At 39.6% G+C, this 18,511-nt stretch overlaps 1 protein-coding gene and 1 long non-coding RNA gene across 20 annotated transcripts in view; both read left to right on the top strand.

Annotated features, from left to right (window-relative positions):
• Positions 1-442: 442 nt before the first annotated feature.
• LDB2 (LIM domain binding 2) overlaps positions 443-18,511 on the top strand; it is a 397,105-nt gene continuing 379,036 nt past the window's right edge. For 10 of the 19 annotated variants that reach the window (XM_017008813.3, XM_017008821.3, XM_005248197.5 and 7 more), the window contains exon 1: positions 443-734. In XM_017008813.3, coding sequence (XP_016864302.1) covers positions 603-734 — 132 coding nt within the window. In that variant the 5' untranslated portion in view covers positions 443-602. Of the gene's footprint in view, positions 735-5,988; positions 6,018-9,720; positions 9,848-10,329; positions 10,415-18,511 lie in introns of all 19 variants that reach the window. The other 9 variants (XM_017008812.3, XM_017008816.3, XM_006713976.5 and 6 more) reach the window with 2 other exon arrangements.
• Positions 3,968-5,798, top strand: LOC107986188 (uncharacterized). Its single transcript, XR_001741396.2, has 2 exons — positions 3,968-4,142; positions 5,354-5,798. It is a non-coding gene; the product is annotated as an uncharacterized LOC107986188 (long non-coding RNA).

Here is an 18,511-nt window from a genome sequence, read left to right as displayed (position 1 = left end):
AAGCTTAGCAATCAGGTTGTGAAGGGTCCTGGCTGGAGGAAAAAAATTAAAACCAAACCTTAGACCTCTTGTCAGACTGTGAGGAGAATTATATTTGTGAACTAGTCTACAATGTGGACAGGAAATGACCTCTCCACAAACTGCTTCTTTAAAAACAAGCAGTGGTGCCTAAAGCTATCCAGCTCCTCTCTCTCTCTCTCTCTCTCTCTCTCTCTCTCTCTCTCTCTCTCTCTCTCTCTCTCTCTCTCTCCCCCTCCCTCCCTCCCTCCTCCCTCCCTCCCTCCCTCCCTTCTTCCCTCCCTTCCTCCATACCAACCTCCCTCCCTCTCTGGAGCTCCTGCTCTCTCCCTCTCCCTCCTCTCCCGTGCTCCCTCCCTCCCTCCCTCTTTCCCTCCCTCCTCTCCTCTCCCTCTCCTCTCCTGCTATAGAGGGCTCCGACAGCAGTTCCCAGCCAGCGTGTTCAGCCTGCCTGCCTGCCTGCCTCTGTGTGTGTGTGAGCGTGTGTGCGTGCGTCTACTTTGTACTGGGAAGAACACAGCCCATGTGCTCTGCATGGACGTTACTGATACTCTGTTTAGCTTGATTTTCGAAAAGCAGGCAAGATGTCCAGCACACCACATGACCCCTTCTATTCTTCTCCTTTCGGCCCATTTTATAGGAGGCATACACCATACATGGTACAGCCAGAGTACCGAATCTATGAGATGAACAAGAGACTGCAGTCTCGCACAGAGGTAAGTACTTCAACCTTGGGGATGTGTTTGTGTATTTTTGTTAAGCTATGCATGAGCTTTTCCTAGGGTTTCTGGCTGAATTCTATGGGAAGTGTCCCACTTGATACTACCACGTACGTGGAAATGAGCGCCAGGATGAATCCACGAGTTTGGACGCTGGGTTTCCAGGCACAGCAACTCTTGTAGCAGAGGACAGTTTCTGCCGGAATCTTGAGACAACCCAGCACTTGATTCACATGCCGGGTTTCCAGAAATGTTGCTCTTCCAGAACTCTGGTGTTTTACAGGCTCTGAGTCAGTCCTGTTGGTGTTTCTTGAGATATAATTCCAAGGAATTTTGTGATTGTTTGCATCTGGCTATATATATATATACATATGTGTATATATATATATATATATATATATATACATATGTGTATATATATATATATATATATATATATATATATATATATATATTTTCTTTTTTACAAATCCTAGAGGAAGTCTGCTTTGACCTGTATTTACTTTTCAGAGTCACCAAAATCGAGGTAAAAAGGGGCAGAAGAGTAAACCTGCCTACTTCTCAGAACTAGCCCTGGAGGGACACATGTTTGTATATTTCAGTGTTAAAATCAGAAACCAGTTGCTTGGGGCAAGGGGACTCTAGACTTTCTCCTATTGCTGTCGGCCGTGCCCCCCTATCACTCTACCTTAGGACAGGAGCTGGTTCAGCTTTCAAGTCAGCTCTAGTTTTTGCATATTTGAGATCTTGTGCCTGAGAGAGGGAGACTCAGCCTCCTAGGCAGCCAGCAACTCTGGGAGCAGAGAGAACAGGACTTTCAGAACTTTTTAAATGCAAAACTCCAGACTCGCCTCCTGCAATTTAAATATTTTATGTCAGTTGACTTTTTCTCTGTGCTAGCTCAGCTGGCAGGTCTTGCTGCTGGATTGTCCATCTGCCTGTAAGTTGGGGCTTTGTGTGGAAGTGTTCGGAAAAGGAGTTTGTTATAGGTGCACCAAAGTCACTTTAGGAAGTGGAAATTGCTAGGAATTTAGTCTTCTCTGCAGAGTATAAATACCACAAGATTTATGCCAAAGAGCTTTTAGGGAATAGCTCTGGTGGAATTTTAGATTGAAGATTGACTTTTAACTCTAGGAAGGGACTCCATTAAGTTTGTGCTATGGGATAAAACACAGTTGGCTTGAATTGTCAACAGAGCCATAGAGAATTCATGACGTTTCGTGTATTTAATACAGCTAACAAGATGTGACCTGCTTTCTGATTGGCTAACTGCTGGACAAGGACTTATATGTATTTTAAAAGCTGGGTTGTCTTTAATGACTGCTGTTTTCTTTATATGTTAATACACCATAGACGCTAAATATGACTGCTGGTACTCTTGCTCTTTCTAGAAGCCAGTAGCTTCTATAGAAGTGCAAACTATGTTTTGCTTAGGATAGTGAACTGTTGGCAGTGACTGATATTTGTGCTTGCTGTTTTGTGTATGTTGCTTTGTGTGTGTAACAGTTTGTATATTTCCTTCAGATCTTTGCAACTGTGTGTTGGAATCTTAAATCTCTGCATAAACCATTGGTTGACACAGGCTGCTTTCATAATTAGGAGGATAGAAAATGTCTTATAGTTCAGGCACACATTAATTGCAATACAAATTTGGAAAAAATAGTCTTTTAAAAGTATGATTAGTTATAAAAAAAGAGGCCAGGGACCATTATGGCTCAATTCTTGAACAGCAACAATATTTAAAAATGACCTGTCCACCTTACATTTTAGAAAGTTTTTGAGGAATTGCAGAGATTCTTCTCCATCCTCCTGCAGTTAGGAACACAGGCAGCTTTCTCTGATATCTGCCTGCCCTCCTGCCCATTACTGAGCACTTGGCCAGGTCTGAGCTAGGAGACTTATCTGCAAGATTTCCCTACTCTTGCCCTCATTAAAAAAAACTGCAGGATTCAATATGGTCCCAGGTTTGTTTCCCATTTGAGACAAGACATTTGAAAAGACCTCCTTTCGCAGTATGCTTTGCAAAGATGGTACATTATTTTTTGTGAGAGCTAAACTCAGGAATTCCTAACTTTTGGATTATGGGGTATTACTTTTAAAGATTTAGCTCTGAGTAGAAAAAGACTACTTCATAGCTCAAGAACCAAGAGAAGAAAGCTTGCTATGACAAATCTTAAAGATTTTTTTAAACCTCCCTGCCTGTAACAGTAAAGTGCTATGAACTGTTTTCTGGTGTGTCCTAGAGCTAACCGTTTACATTTTTCCCTCCTTAATTAGATAATTTTTCAAATAATTATTCAAATAATTGCCTCAATACTTCTTTTTTTCTTTGCTAAGCAGTAAATACTGTCATGAACGCAATGCCATACATTTGTTTTTATTTCATATGAAAAGGGGAGAGAATCAAATAATTGCTCCTAAGATATTTAAATATTTACATCAAATATTAAATTTTGATCATGATGTATGTACCTTGAAAAAAACAATTTTCATGTAAAGTTACACTATACCTTTACCAATAATTGTTATTTATGATAAAGCTGCTCTGAGTTCTGGAGAGGGATTGGTTGGGATAAAATACAATGATACTCAGCAAGAGTTATTAGTTTATTCACATGCAAAATCAAATATGCCTTTGAGTGACTACTTTGAGAATTTAGCCAAAGCATACAACCATTTTGGGCAAGACTGACTCACCCATCCCTCTTCCATCTCTCTCTTCCTCTCTCTCTTCTGGTCCCACTCCTATAGTATATAGTATTATTTCATTAAGTCCTAATATCTCTCTCACACACACACACACACAAACACACCCCACTGGGTAATACTCTCAAGTCTTCACCCCTTTTTGAACATGGACCTGGCTAGAAAAACAATATATAGCAAATCAGTATGTGATGAAGAAATTGTAATCAAGTTTCTGGAAATTTCCTAGAAACCTCCTTTTTTATATGGAAAGAAATTAGTAAAGAACCATGATGTTTACCTACTCTCCTTCCATGGCTGATCCCAGGGCATTTTCTCATGGGGATCCATGCATTTCTTCCAATTAAATTAAATCAAAGTTCTTCAGAAGCCGGGAAGTTTGAGTTTAAAGAGGATGGCATTGGGAGTTAATATTATTTCTAACTCTTACAAACTAGTTAGCATGGGTCTTGGTTCCTCATTTGCAAATTACCAACAGTGTCCCTTTAATTGAAAATTCAGATTTTCTTTTTTTTTTTTTTTTTAGCATGAAAAAGTATTATGAAGTAAAGAGTGCAGACATTATTTCTTTGCTCATGGTATTTAGTTCAAAATCACAAAATCACAAAGAGTTCTTCATGTTGGCACTACGCTAATTAAAAAAAATACCATAAACACCAGAAAAGTGTGAGTTCCGTTATGTATTTTTCCTGTTTTGAGGTTTTTTTTTCTTTTATCAATATTACACATCCAATAATAAAATAATTGGGTAATGGTGAAGAAAACTTGAAGGTCCAGTTTGGTTTTAAAGCTAGCACTTAAAGCAAGTAGTTCCTGGACCAAGTAGGTACTCATTAAACATTTGCTGACTAGCCAATCAGTGAATCAGTAGACAAAAGGAGAGAATTTGAAAACCAATGCATTTAAATTAGCACCTTCCCTGAGAAATACAATTCTGAAGTTTTTTGGGGCCTGGTATCTCCTATTGAGCTGAAGCAGCTTTGCGCCTCTGCTTCTCACTCTCCCTAAAGTGTTCATCTCACATCCCCCACATTTATTTTATGTGAGGTCATTTAGATCCATAATCTTTGTGGCAGAGGAAAGCAAGTGACTAAGTACTAACAGGACCTCACCTCTCTGTAAAGGAATAGGCATGCATTAAAAAGCAAACAGCAACAACAACAAAAGTATATTTTAAATGCTGCTAGCTGTTCTGGGAAATAAATTTTTTTTTCAACATTAGAATCTCAGTGGAATTTAATAAAGAAATGTGTGGGTGCTCTTCCCACCCTTTAAAATGAAATTAAGAAAAATTCTGAGGTTAGCATCACTGTTGTTCACTGTAATTCCCAGGCAGCAGAAAGGAGTTTACATTTTCTGTTGTGTATGCTGTCAAAAATTGACCCAATGTCTTCCAAAATTCATGTATTTGAATGGTTTGGCAGTGCCAAATGTATTTTGGAAGAATACAACCGCACAATTATATAGTTTTAACACTGTACACACAATACAGTCAGATAGGATATAAAAATATGTTCTGAAGACTTCAGAATTTGTTCTGTGAAAAGCTTCAATAAAAGCAAAAACAATGTATTTTTTCATTTTTAGGTCTCAGCCCTGAGATGAAAATATAGGTAAAATATATGAGAAACATTACAGTGGACATCATTGTAAGTGAAGGGATTTAACTAATGTTCGATTATTATAAAATTTAAGAAAGTTTATCAAGTAAAGTTCACAAATCTTTGTTAGAGGAGATAACTTTTCTATACCTTGTTTTCTCATTCAAATGACCAAAAATGTCTGCATTTAAGTGAAGATATTTTTAAGTATACATAGTTCTTCATGTTGGCACCATGCTAATTTAAAAAAAAAAATACCATAAACACCAGAAAAGTGTGAGTTCCGTTATGTATTTTTCCTGTTTTGAGGTTTTTTTCTTTTATCAATATTACACATCCTCTTCCAAAAGAGAAAACTGTGATTACAATCGGAAGCTGTACGCACAAGGATTTTATAGAATTACAGTTTTTAGTTTCACAGGATTTAATATGAAGGTTACAAATGTTCGAAGACCTAGAAATTTAAATCTGCTGGTTTTCACCCCTTCTCAGCTCAACTCTAAAACTCCCTGGGGAGGGGGTGGGGAGGAGGGGGATTCTTAGTCCTCTTTTCTTTCAGCTACATTTTTATATACTTTAGTCACAGGGTTTCACGTTGTAACATCATGTTTATTCATGGAATAGCTTGGTATCATTGATGTTCAGATGGAATCTAGTTAAAATGAGATTAGTTATTTTGGATAGGTGGAGAAAAAGAAAAAATGCTTTGTGGTAACTTGGAGGTTTCTCCCCCCTAGAAATTTAGAAAGAAAAATGTTGCTGCTACTCTGAGATATATGAATGATTTTCAGTGTTAAAAACAGAACTTTGCAAGTTGTTTGAAGAGGGTTGGTGAGGTGGGGGAGGGGGCTGGGTGGTGGAAAGGAAAGCTATTTTGAAAATGTTAAATGAAACCAAAAGTGCAGTTTTAAAAATGAGAACTTCCAAACTCTCTTATTTTTCAGGATCTCTACATGGCCTCAGAAAACCAATTGTAAGACTCTTATACTGATTTTATTTTCTTGAAGTCTTTTTTTTCCCCCATTTTCTTACTATGGGAACTGTTTTTAATTAAAAATTGCTGCAAACTAACTATTCATAGGAGGCCAAGAAGAAAAAAGAAAAAAAAAAGAACTTTCAACTCACATTCAACACAGATTCTTATCAGCCTAAAATCAATGCACATTTAAATTTCTCTCTTTTTGGTGTGTAAATTATGATGTAGGATTTAAACGCTATGCATTTTTTAAACATTTAGCTTTTTGTTTGGGGTCCAGAAAGAAATTAATTTAAAGTATATGGAGAACAGGGCCATAAATCTCTTTTTATTACAATTGTCCACATTAACTCATTTTTCATGAGGAACACAGAGCACCCGCTTTCTGAACAAGCAAACGAAACGTAAAACAACCCCAAACATCCAACTTTATAAATGATCAAGAACAAAATTCATAAACTTACTTATTTGGATTTGGTTGGTGGGCCTCAAAATATAACTGACCTGGGAAAACAATGTCTTTTTGAAGTGTCAGAACATAGCATTTAAAAAAATGTCCAAAGGATGTAGATACTACAAATACCTTCGTCATTTTCTGACAAGGCGTTTTCCTTCTTTTTAAATTTTTAAAAATCAATATGAGCCTAGATTTTTTTTAAAATTTAAATTCTGGCAGCATGCATTTGAACCTAGGCAACTATTAATGCTTAAAACAAAATTCAGGCATTCCTTCAAGAATTTCCATACTTCAGGCAATGACAGTCTCAGGGCCTGGAAATATAAACATGATTAAGATACTTTCTGTCTTCTAGAAGCTTACAATTTGATAAAGAGGGGAGACATACAAACCACACTTACAATAGAGAGCCATGATAGGTTAATACACGGTGTATCGTGGGCATATTCCTGTAGTGAAAGGTATATACACCTTTCTGAAAGGCAGTCATAGAATAGCATATATGGAGTTTTCAGTGTCTGTTGGGCAAGTATGAATACTAGGTGCTTTTTGTATGTCGGCTCAAGTAACCCTCATGATCACATCGTATGATACTAATATCTACTAACATCTGCACTTTTACTAATGAGGAAACTGGAAACTGACAGGTTACATAAATTGTCCAAGGTCAAATAGACGGTAGTTTAGCTTCAGAGGTTGTAACTACTCTGCCATAGCACCTCTCTTGAAATAGGAAACATGAGCTAGGAATCTAGTTTTACCTATAGAAATTTTTAATGTGAATATATTCATTTTTGTTTTCTAAGACAAATTGACTTTGGAGGTGGCTTGGAAATTGATCCCATTCACTAACTTGATTCTGCTAGATGTGTCTCAACTGCCTAACTTAATTTTCAAAGGGACCAAGTGAAATTCCAAGGGATGGATCCAGGGATGGAAAATATACCCTGGGTACTGAACAAAAAAACCCAAATTACACTCCTTATTAAAGAATACTTAAGTTCGGGCACGGTGGCTCAAGCCTGTAATCCCAGCACTTTGGGAAGCTGGGGTGGGCAGATCATGAGGTCAGAAGTTCAAGACCAGCCTGATCAACATGGTGAAACCCTGCCTCTACTAAAAATACAAAAATTAACCAGGCATGGTGGCACACGCCTGTAGTCTCAGCTACACGGGAGGCTGAGGCAGGAGAATTGTTTGAACCTGGGAGACGGAGGCTGCAGTGAGCCGAGATTGTCCCACTGCACTCCACCCTGGGCGACAGAGTGAGACTCCATCTCAAAAAAAAAAAAAAAAAAAAAAAAAAGAATACTTAAGATTCCCACTTTATCTGAAGAGTGATTGAAACTGTTATAGAATATAATGCATAGTCATCTAAAAGGTTTTTTTTTTTTTTACTTAAAAATATTTAAATTTCCATTCAGTGCTTCTTCTTAGTTGTGCCCTGGGAAAGATAGTGTTTTTATTGTTTTAAACAGTAGTGAATGAGTATAAAAGCTATCTCATTTTTTGGTGGAAACAATAACCAAAATAAATGTTAGGAAATTAAATTACAATTCAAATTGGGTATAGTATTGGCTCCCTTTTCAGGTAATCAATTAGGAATCTTAGGGAAAATAAAGACATAAAGGGGAAAGAACTTCCAACAGGTTTGGCTTCTCAGGATCTTAGTTTAATCTACTCCTGAGAGGAAGTCAGTCTCCCCACATCCTGTCTGTCTGCAGAAGTTCTTTGTGGGAGGTGATATTTCCTTCCTACCCTTGCAGACCACTTTAGCTACCTGCAAAGCCATTGTCATGAGAGTAAATGCCTGCCAGTTGTTGAAGATAAGATAGATCTCCTCATTTGATCCACCCCCAAAGCCTGAGATGCACGCATTCTGGTTCTCCTTTACCAGACAAGCAACCGAGGCCTCAGTTCATGCATGGCCATCCTGAGATTTGAGAGCCCAGGGGCTGGATCATCTGACTTTTCACTGTATGGTCTGTCCTGGAGCATATTGGTAAAGGGATGTTGCCTCCCAGCTGCCCACTTCCTCTTGGATGCCCTGGTAGCCACACCCTTCTCTCACATTAGTACCACGTTGGACCAGCCTAATTTGAAGTTTTAGTCTTCCAGTTCAAAATAGGAGGCTTAGCGTTAAGGATTTGGCAGACCTCTCTGAAGAAGAGGAATCTGTCCTGTTCTGGTGACATTGCGAGCCCCCAGCCTCTCTTTTTGGAATCAGGACGGCCTCTTAACAGCACTCCGTGCCCCCCCTTTCCATCTTATAATCTGATCCCCACAAACAGCCAAGGTGATATTTTTAAAGCATAAATCAGATCCTGTGACTCTCCTGCTTCCTCTCAAACCTAGAACAAGCTCTAAACTCCTTGCTCTGGTTTTAAGAATCTATTGATCTCTTCCTTCCTGATGGTCCATTCTTATCTGCTACCAAGTGTTCACTGGACTGGAGCCACGGAGGGCTTCTTTGGGATCCATTAGCTTGCCAAGCTGATTCACACTGCAGGACCTTTGCCCTCGGTCAGGGAACACCGAATATATGGCTTTCTTTGTAATAACTCAGCTAAGTATTAGGAGACCTCAGTTGAGTTGGGATTTGGCATAGTGCTGGCTTTATTTGCAGGTAATCAATTAGAAAAAGAAAAGAAGGACAATAAAGGAAAAGAGTCCCAGCAATTAGGAGGTCCTGTACTGAGCAACTTAAATGTTCTCTTCCTAGAGAGCCCTTCCTCAAACAATTAAAATTAACCCCCAATCACTTTCTATCACATGCCTTCTTCATAGGAATTATTGGAAGCCTGTATTTTCTTGCTTCTTGTTTATTTCTTAAGTATTTGCTTGTCCTTGATAGAATATAAGCCCCATGAGGGCAGGGACCTGATTGTCTTACACATCATTGCATCCCCAGTGCCCTATATAGCACATGGCTGATGTGCAAAATATTACCTATTGAATAAAGAAAATTAAGTTGTTCCAGCACTGGCCATCCTGACGCTAAAATTTTCCCCAAGTCTTACCAACAATTGCCTACAGTTCCAGTAGGAGAAGAATCTGTGAGCCTAATAGCCCAGTGAGCATTCACTGCTAGAACGCACGTCAAGCCCAAAGGAAAAAGAAGCCCTGAGAGAACAAAATTTCTTCTATGAAGGGAGTGTTGACCTGACTATTTTGCCCTCTGGATAGTGCAAATCTGTTGGGAATCTCCTGACTTCTGATTAAAAATATTTATACTTATCCTAGTGTTTCTTTTCTCATTTGATATTTCTGCTACTTCTGTCTCTCTATATCTACCTGGGAGCCCACAGCCGTGAATTACGGTATGAATCATGATAATATGTTACATTTCCTGGAGCACTTTGCATTTTAGGTAAGTGCTTTCGGGGCCATTAATCAGCTTATTTGAAGTGATTTGCACAACAGAAAATATGGGAAGTTCTATCAGTATATGATGCTGTGGTCTGTAATAACTTTGTGTTTGCTAACTGGTGTATGTATGTGTGTGTGTGTGTGTGTGTTTATGTGTGTGAGAGAGAGAGAGAGAGAGACATTTGTCCTAATCAGATTGTGTTTGTGTATGTGTGCAGCTTTTGGTTAGGGAATATGAACATTTTTTTTCACCAATAGTTTTTTCTTCTGGAATGAAAACAGTGACCAGCCTTGAACATAAAGGCTTCAACCTCAGTATGACTTATAGTAAGACAGATTTGGGTCCAAACTCTGAGTTTGTCTTCTACTTGCTGTGTAATATTAAGGAAGTTTCTTAAATTTTCTGAGCCTCAATTTCCTTAGCCTGAAAGTTACATTGCAAAGTAAAGAATAAATGCATGTATAATGCCTGGTATATGATAGGTGCCACATCATTGGGAACTATGATGATGATGACGACGATGACGACGATACACTTATTCTGGATTCTATCAGCAAATTAAATAATGTAAGTAATGCCAAACATTGCTTCATTTCTTAAAAGTATCTTTAAAAATACTTTTTACATGCCTGCACTAGCATATTTCAATTTAATAAACAAAACTTGCAATAACATGATCTAGGACTCTTGAGTTTGGTTGTTCTCGTGTGATAATGCCAAAGGGGCTTTTCACTGTTATATGGCAGGGATGACATAATAATCATATACCTTGTTATGTGAGAGGAATGGCAGAGTAGTCACAATCTCCTGCAAATTCAAGGCTAGAATTATTTCTTAGGCATACCTATGGTTAAGTAGTAAGGGTTGACCAATGTATGAGACCATGTGTACTCCGTTTTGTTGGGAAAAAGCTGTGATTGGTGTTTTCTCCATTTAAGAACTCAGTGGAGACAACAAAACATTAAAAGGTTCCCTTTCACCAGTGTCTTTGCAGGGCTGTCTGAATGGGGGCCCCAGGAGAGGGCTGGAGAGCACACACCCACTGGCCTTGACTGGCCATTTCTTCTAAGGACGCATGCTTCTCAATATGCAGCCCAGCACAGACTTCTCCAAGGGAGCTGGGTCAGCACTGGTCAGAAGCCTGAAGCACCACCTGCGTGTCTGGACTGATAACAGCCCTTCCAATTGATTCACTGTGACACCTTGTGGCTTAATGCACACACTGGTGGAAGTAGTGAAGTGCTGAAGAGTACCATACGGTATCTTTCTGGCCACAGGGATCAGGTGGATGGGTAGTAACGCTACCTGTCTCTTTTTTTTTTACAGATGCAAGTGGGCACTACACTATGCTGATTTGAAGAATTCCTATTGAAGAATTCAATAGGAATTCTTCGGATTACATACATTGTCCTATACTTCATTTCTCTGACCAGGGCACCTATGATTTTTATAGTCTTATATTAATAATAATTTTTATCAACTTTTATAAAGTAAGATCTTGTGTAGCTCAAACGTTAAATTATTTGTAGCCCTTTTTTTTTCTTTTCCTTTTGGTAGGAGTTAGGGTGTGTTAAACTTCTCTTCCCAACGTAGGTCATTTCTTAGGACTCGTGAAGATTTGATCTCAATATTGAAAATCTGTGTAGAGAAGCAAAAGCTAAACCAATACATAAAACTGACCAATTGGAAATACACACAAAAAAACAACCTTTTTTAGACCTTACAAGTTTAACATGATTACCATGTAGTTGGCTGAAATTTATTACTTGAAATTAAACTTAAACAGTCAGTGCATATTACCTGCCCTTTGAAAGGTTCTAATTTGATGGAACCTACTAGTCCCAAATTAGATGAATCCTAGAATTTCAGGGCTGGAATGGTTATGAGATCATCTAGCCCAAGCTCCTGATTATGGAAGTGCAGAAGTCAAACCCAAGCGGGGCTAACTTGGACTAAGCAGTGCTGTCAATTCATAAGCCATCTCAGGTTTCTTTTTATTCTTTTTCTTTTTTTTTTTTTTCAAGTCTTAGCACTCTCCTGTCACTATGTAATTACCAGGAACTGGCTAAATCCAAACACACTTACCAAGCATTAATCTGCACCTCAACACTACAAAAACTTTTGTATTCCAAGCCCATATCTCCTTTTTCAGTTTTCCAATTGTCTTAAAACAGTGTTGATTTTTTTTTTTTTTTTTTTTTTTTTTTTGAGACGGAGTTTCGCTCTGTCGCCCAGGCTGGAGTGCAGTGGCGCGATCTCAGCTCACTGCAAGCTCTGCCTCCTGGGTTCACGCCATTCTCCTGCCTCAGCCTCACGAGTAGCTGGGACTACAGGTGCCCGCCACCACACCCGGCTTATTTTTTTGTATTTTTAGTAGAGACGGGATTTCACCGTGTTAGCCAGGATGGTCTTGATCTCCTGACCTTGTGATCTGCCTGCCTCGGCCTCCCAAAGTGCTGGGATTACAGGTGTGAGCCACCGTGCCCAGCCAAAACAGTGTTGATCTTTAGTGTCATGCTATTGATGTTGAAAAACACATCACTAACCTTCATTGCTTTTGAATTTATGATTTCCTTTGCCAGTTTATTTAGAATAAAGCTGCATGTGCTTTAAAATACATGTCTCCTTTTTTGGTTTTAAAAACAGTACATTATTAATGTAGAGTATTTGTGAAATACAAAAATGTTCAAGGAGGTAAAGAAAATCGTCTTTAATTTTACTGTGCAACAAAATTGCTGTGAACATGTTAGTATATAAATTTAATGCACACATACATATACATAAATCTTTACTTGCTTACAAGCATATTGAGCATCCTTTTGAATCCAGCTCTTTTAAGTAAAATTATGAGTATTTTACCGTGTCCTTAAATCTTCTTAAAATATAATTTTGAGTTGCCTGAATTATTCTTACATCTGTTTATGTTTCAAAAATTAACAACATATAGATATTTTAAAAATTATTTGGCTCCATTGTACCATGATTTGAGATCAGCTTTTGTTTGTTGGTTTGTTTTGTTTTTGAGACAAGGTCTTGCTCTGTTGCCCAGGCTGGAGTGCGGTGGCTCCATCAGAACTCACTGCAGACTTGACCTCCTGAGCTCAAGTGATCCTTGAGCCTCAGCCTCCTGAGTATCTGGGACTACAGGCACATGACACTGCACTAGACTAATTTAAAAAAAAAAAATTGTAGAGATAGAATTTCTCTTTGTTACCCAGGCTGGTCTCAAACTCCTGGCTCATGGTGATCCTCTTGCTTCGGCCTCCCAAAGTGCTGGGATTACAAGTTTAGGCCAGAGTTAAGTATTCTTAACAATCAATTTTATCTCCCATTGCGGTAGAAGATTACTGGTATGAAGGAGTTAACTATGATGACTATTATAATGACCGTTAGCATTTAGTACTAGTCAGAAGTCTTGAATCCAGACCTCTCTCTCACTCCCTATCCCCAACTTGAGGGTGGATCCTTTTTTATTTCTGCTTTTCTTTCTCTTGTATTATTTCTGAGTCAAAAGGCAGCGAGCACGTAATCTTTCACAAGGTCCATAAATCAAAATATTTTAGCACAATTCATACTGGGAAGAGGAAGCTTGAATTAATGTTAAGGGTTAGTGTTGATCTAGAACCAGAGAGTTGGGATATAGCAAGTTAATTTATGACACCTCTGAAGGACACGTCTTTAATTCAAAAAGAAAAGGGATACCTCAAAAAGTGGGTTGTGTCATGACTTGTATGTAATGTTATCCTGTTTTCCTTACTGGATCAAAGAGGTCTTTGGGATTGGGCACTATCTTGCTCATATTTGTATCAGTCATAACAACTGATATTCTCTGTGACCAATATCAATCTTCTTCTAAAGGCACATTTCACTGAAGCAGCCATTTTGTTATCACTTTCTTTTTTTATTTTTTTGAGACAGCGTCTTGCTCCCCAGGCTGGAGTGCAGTGGTGTGATCACAGGCTCACTGCAGCCTCGACCTCCAAGACTCGAATTTCTCACACCTTAGCTTCCTGTGTAGCTGGGACCACAGGCATGCACCACGACATTTGACTAATTAAAAAAGTTTTTTTTTTTTTTTTTTTTTTTAGAAGTGGTATCTCCCTATGTTGCCCAGGCTGGTCTCAAACTCCTGAGCTTGAGTGATCCTCCCGCCTCAGATCACTGTTTTTACATGAGTAATATGCTTTTTAAAAATAAGCCTCATACACGTATGCTTCTAGTACAACATAGGTTGTACAATAAGATTATGTCCTCTCCCATAGCATTGGCATTAAGCGCTTAACTTCTGGAGTCATGCAAATTTTTTTCTTTACTTAGTGGCTGTGTGACCTTGGATAATTTATCCATCTGTACCTGGGATGCCCCTATGGGTAATGTAGGGAATAACAGAATCTATGTGTTTGGGTTCTCATAAGATAGAGTGAGTTAATTCTTGTAAAGTGCTTAGCATAATGCCTGCACCCTATAAGGGTTAACAATTATTATTGTGGCTTATTTGTTTAATGGATATTGAACATCTACTACACATGATATTACTAGTCTAGAGACGAAGAGGGCAGAGTCCTTCTCTTAAAAGAGCTTACTGAGGACACAGTAAGGATTTACAGGGAAGGAAGGTCTTGATGGATAAATGGGAATTTGCCAATTAGAGAAGGGTGGTGGAAAGGGTGTTTAAGGTAGCAAGAACGCAAATGCAAATAAAGTGATATTATATTTTAGGAAGGGTGAAGATTTTGACACTGCTGAGGCTTAAGGTCTGGGGTGTATGTGTTAGTGTGTATATGATTGTGTGTGTAGGCCTGGAGAAGAAGTAGGGGCCGAATTGTGGAGGTATTTAAATACCAAGCCAGGGTTCTTTACCTTTTAGAGACTATACTTTGGACGATAGCATGATTATTTAACTTCTCCGTGCCTTGGTTTTCTCATCTGCAAAATGAGACAACAGTAGTCCCCGCCTCACAGAGTTGTTTTAGGGAATTTAATGAGGTAAGGCATGAAAGCCCTCAGACCAACACCTGGTACATAGTACGGATTCAGTCAGTATTAGCGTCTACTATTGGGCCGAGGGAGCTAATAAAGTGTTTTGTTTTATTTTGTTTTGTGTTGGCTGGGGAGTGAAGCAATCTGCTATGCCTTTGAGCAAGAACACTCTGATCCCTTTGTGGAGGGTGGACTGGTGGTCTGTCTTGGAGCACATCTGTCTGCTGAGAGGAAGAAATCAGTGGATAGGGAGATGCACAAAGGAAAAATTACACACACTTACTGGCTGACTGAGCTATTTTTAGCCTAGTGTGTCTGAAGCAAAGGATGGATTTTCATGGTATTTTTTTTTTTAAAGATGCAAAGTTCCCGTAAGCCAAGGTGATGTAACTTGCCTTGTGACATTTTATTTGCCCATCCTTGAGGTCTACAATGTGGGCCATGAATCGTTTAGCGGCCTGGGGCCTCTAGTCTTGAGTTTTCTTCCTGCCTTGATACAATTGGGACCTGTGTGGGAAACCAGAAGAGATGTGCTGGCCGTCAGCCTGGCAGGAGGACCCCACGGTGATGTGGCAGGGAGGCAAGGGAGAAGGCTGCATGGGGAAGAGAAAAAGGCAAGAAGCGGTGAAACCTGACCTCACCCAGCACATGGGACATGAGTCTCTGACACTCAGTTTCCACACTGATAGAATGGGAAAAATCATCTGTCAACATCAGAGGAACGTCCCAAGCCCTAAGTGGGCGGGTATCTGGTGTGGCTCTTCCCTCTACTGCATGGTAGTTCATGCCCCATTGCAGGCCCATATGCTTTGTGCATTGAATGTGTGTTTTTCTTGAATCTTTCTCGTACCTTCTTCCCTCTGTAAACTTAAGCCTCGGAGAAATATTTTCTTTCCCTGAGTCTGTTTCCTCTTTCGACTTTCTTGGATTAGATGAGCTATGAACACCAAGGTTCTCTCTTCAGCCGCAGTCTACGATCCCAGTTAGATGGACTGCTGATTTCTGTTTTTAACCTGTCACATCCAACACAAAGTCAAGGTAAATAACGTATTTTTGGCCCTCTTCTGAGCCTCCTTCAGCTCTTTTTCTCCCACCTTCTTTGGTGAGGGATCTTGCTGGTCACAGTGTCTTGCCTTTCGGCACAAACTGGCTGGAGAGGACCATGTTTTGCCTCAAAATGCTCTGGGAACCATTGTCTTAAAACCCGCACATAAAGGAAGGCTCGATGGTTGTTTTTTTTCCGTCCTCATAAAATAAGCTCGAAATGCAAATGCAGAATCTACTAAAATTTATGAGTTCAGTGGGTGCCCTGCATCACCAGTTTTTTTTAGAAAGGTTAAAATTCATCTGAACTAAGACTAGAAAATAAGCTTCAGGTGTTAGGTTATTCTGAAAAGACTGTTAATGCCTGTTGGCTAAGTGCATTAAACTGCATGGAAATGATCACTTGTGTGTACTATTTTAAAAACTGCTTGCTGGGATGGTGATTTAAACCTATTTTTTTCTGGACTCAAAACTTCACATTTGTCTGTTGAAAAAAAAATACTGTATTTGAAACAAATAAACATTAAAATATAGTTTATTATATTTCCAGGTGTTTGTCTGAAAGGATACGTCAAGACATTTTTCGTTAGAAGCTGAAATCTCAGCCTTAATTCACTCCATTGTATTTCCAAGGAGCTTAACCCTATATAATATTACCTGGTCTCTGGAGACCTCCTTGAAGGGATACCAGATACCCTTAGGATAACTAAAGAATGGGGGAGGTGGGGAGAGAATGGAGGGGGAATGGTTTCCAGTCCTAATTCTATATTTCCTGTGACTTTTTTTTATGGAGGCAGGGGAAAAGGAGAGAAGAAAGAACTCTGCTGAAAAGGAGAGAAGAAAGAACTCTGCTGTTAGCTTTATTACAGCTTTGATTTTAAAACCATTTAAGAAGTAGCATTCATGGTGGCACCCTGTGTTGTCTAGGATGGAATTGCATTGACTCATTCATTCCTTAATACCTTATTGAGCTTTTTTTTATTATGTGCTCAGTGAGGGAGGACCATATATAAACCCTGCCCTCAGGATGCTCACAGCCTAGTGGGGAAGGTAGCCAGCTGAACCTCCAGTTATAACTGAGGGTGCCAAGAGTGAGCTGTTGAGAGCAGCGAGGACAGAGGTTTTCCCAGCCAGGATTGCGGTACTGAGACATGCACACACGTGCATACACATGCACAGACATGTACACTCACACCCTAAATTGCTTGTGCTATGTGGGAAATTTTGACCCACATATTCCTATGTTTAATTGAAGGCACTGTTAACTTCTTAACAATGCTACATCTCTGATGATTTTAGGAGGAATTAGACTGCGTAAACATCTCAAAACAGGGAGGTGAAGCTAGGAAGCATAAATGCCCCAGTGATGGCTGCAACTAGGTCTCTTAACTTATTGTAATCTAAACCTTGGGTGAGGGAGAAAGAAAAAAAGAGCAGCTTTTTAAAGTCCACTGAAGACTTCAGATGTGGCAAAAATAATCATTTTTTTTCTGGCCATGAGAAATTGTCTGAGTAGAGGGTGGAAAATTTCATCCTTATCAGGAAGTTAATCATAGTAATTTATGTGGAACTTCCAGGTGGTTACTTAGTCAATCTTAAAAAAAAAAAAAAAAAGGCCCAAATTCCCCTCCCCGAATGACAGTATCGAGAGAACTTTAGGAAGAAAGCAAATCATTCAAAGCCTTGAATGGTTAGAAATCCATAAAGATGAAGGCAGGAGCCTGGATGAAAAAAGAAAGAAAATCTCAAAAATCCAGGAGCAGGAGCCATGCTAATCAGGGTGAATATCTGCTGAGTACTTACCAATCGCTAGTCCCACAGCTAAGTGCTTTACATCATGGCCTCAATTAAGCCACACACTACTGTGATACGTAGTGGTATCCACTCCATTTTTCAGATAAGATAAGTGAGGCCGAGAGAGGCTTAGTAATTAGCCCAGGGCTTCAGAGGTAGCAAGAGCTATCTCTGTGACTTAAGCCTGGGTGTTCCCAAGTTCAGAGCTGAACTTCACTTGTCAGCTCCGCTGCCTCTCCAGACAGCGCCCACTTTACAGATGAAGACACTGAGGCCCAGGTAGGTTACAGAAGGTCTTGAGTCTCACTGTGAGACGCATTCAAAGCCTTCTCATTGGCTGATGACTTCGATTTTGGTTCCTCAGTGATCCCCACATTCAACTGTGGGACCAGTATCTGTTTACTGAGAATCCACTGTGAGGGTCACACCACTGTGAGAGTCATAGCACCAAGGATTTCTTGAGGTTGGGAACCTCACCTGGCTCCTCTTTGTGTGTGTGCTTTTTTTTTTTTTTTTTTTGAGATGGAGTCTTGCTGTCTCACCCACGCTGGAGTGCAGTGGTGTGATCTTGACTCACTGCAAGCTCCGCCTCCCGGGTTCACACTATTCTCCTGCCTCAGCCTCCCAAGTAGCTGGGACTACAGGCACCCGCCACCACACTCGGCTAATTTTTTGTATTTTTAGTAGAGACGGATTTCACTGTGTTAGCCAGGATGGTCTCGATCTCCTGACCTCGTGATCCGACGCCTGGCTTATCTTTGTATCAGCAGCAGAGGACACAGGGCCAAGGGCAGAAATGATAATCTAAATAGTGCTTGAATGAATGAGGGATATGAAAGAAGTAGT

This window comes from Homo sapiens, chromosome 4, assembly GCF_000001405.40.
Source record: "Homo sapiens chromosome 4, GRCh38.p14 Primary Assembly".
Classification (NCBI taxonomy): Eukaryota; Metazoa; Chordata; class Mammalia; order Primates; family Hominidae; genus Homo; species Homo sapiens.
The sequence above is the reverse complement of the archived record's forward strand: the minus strand, read 5'-3'. Positions and strand labels throughout refer to the sequence as shown.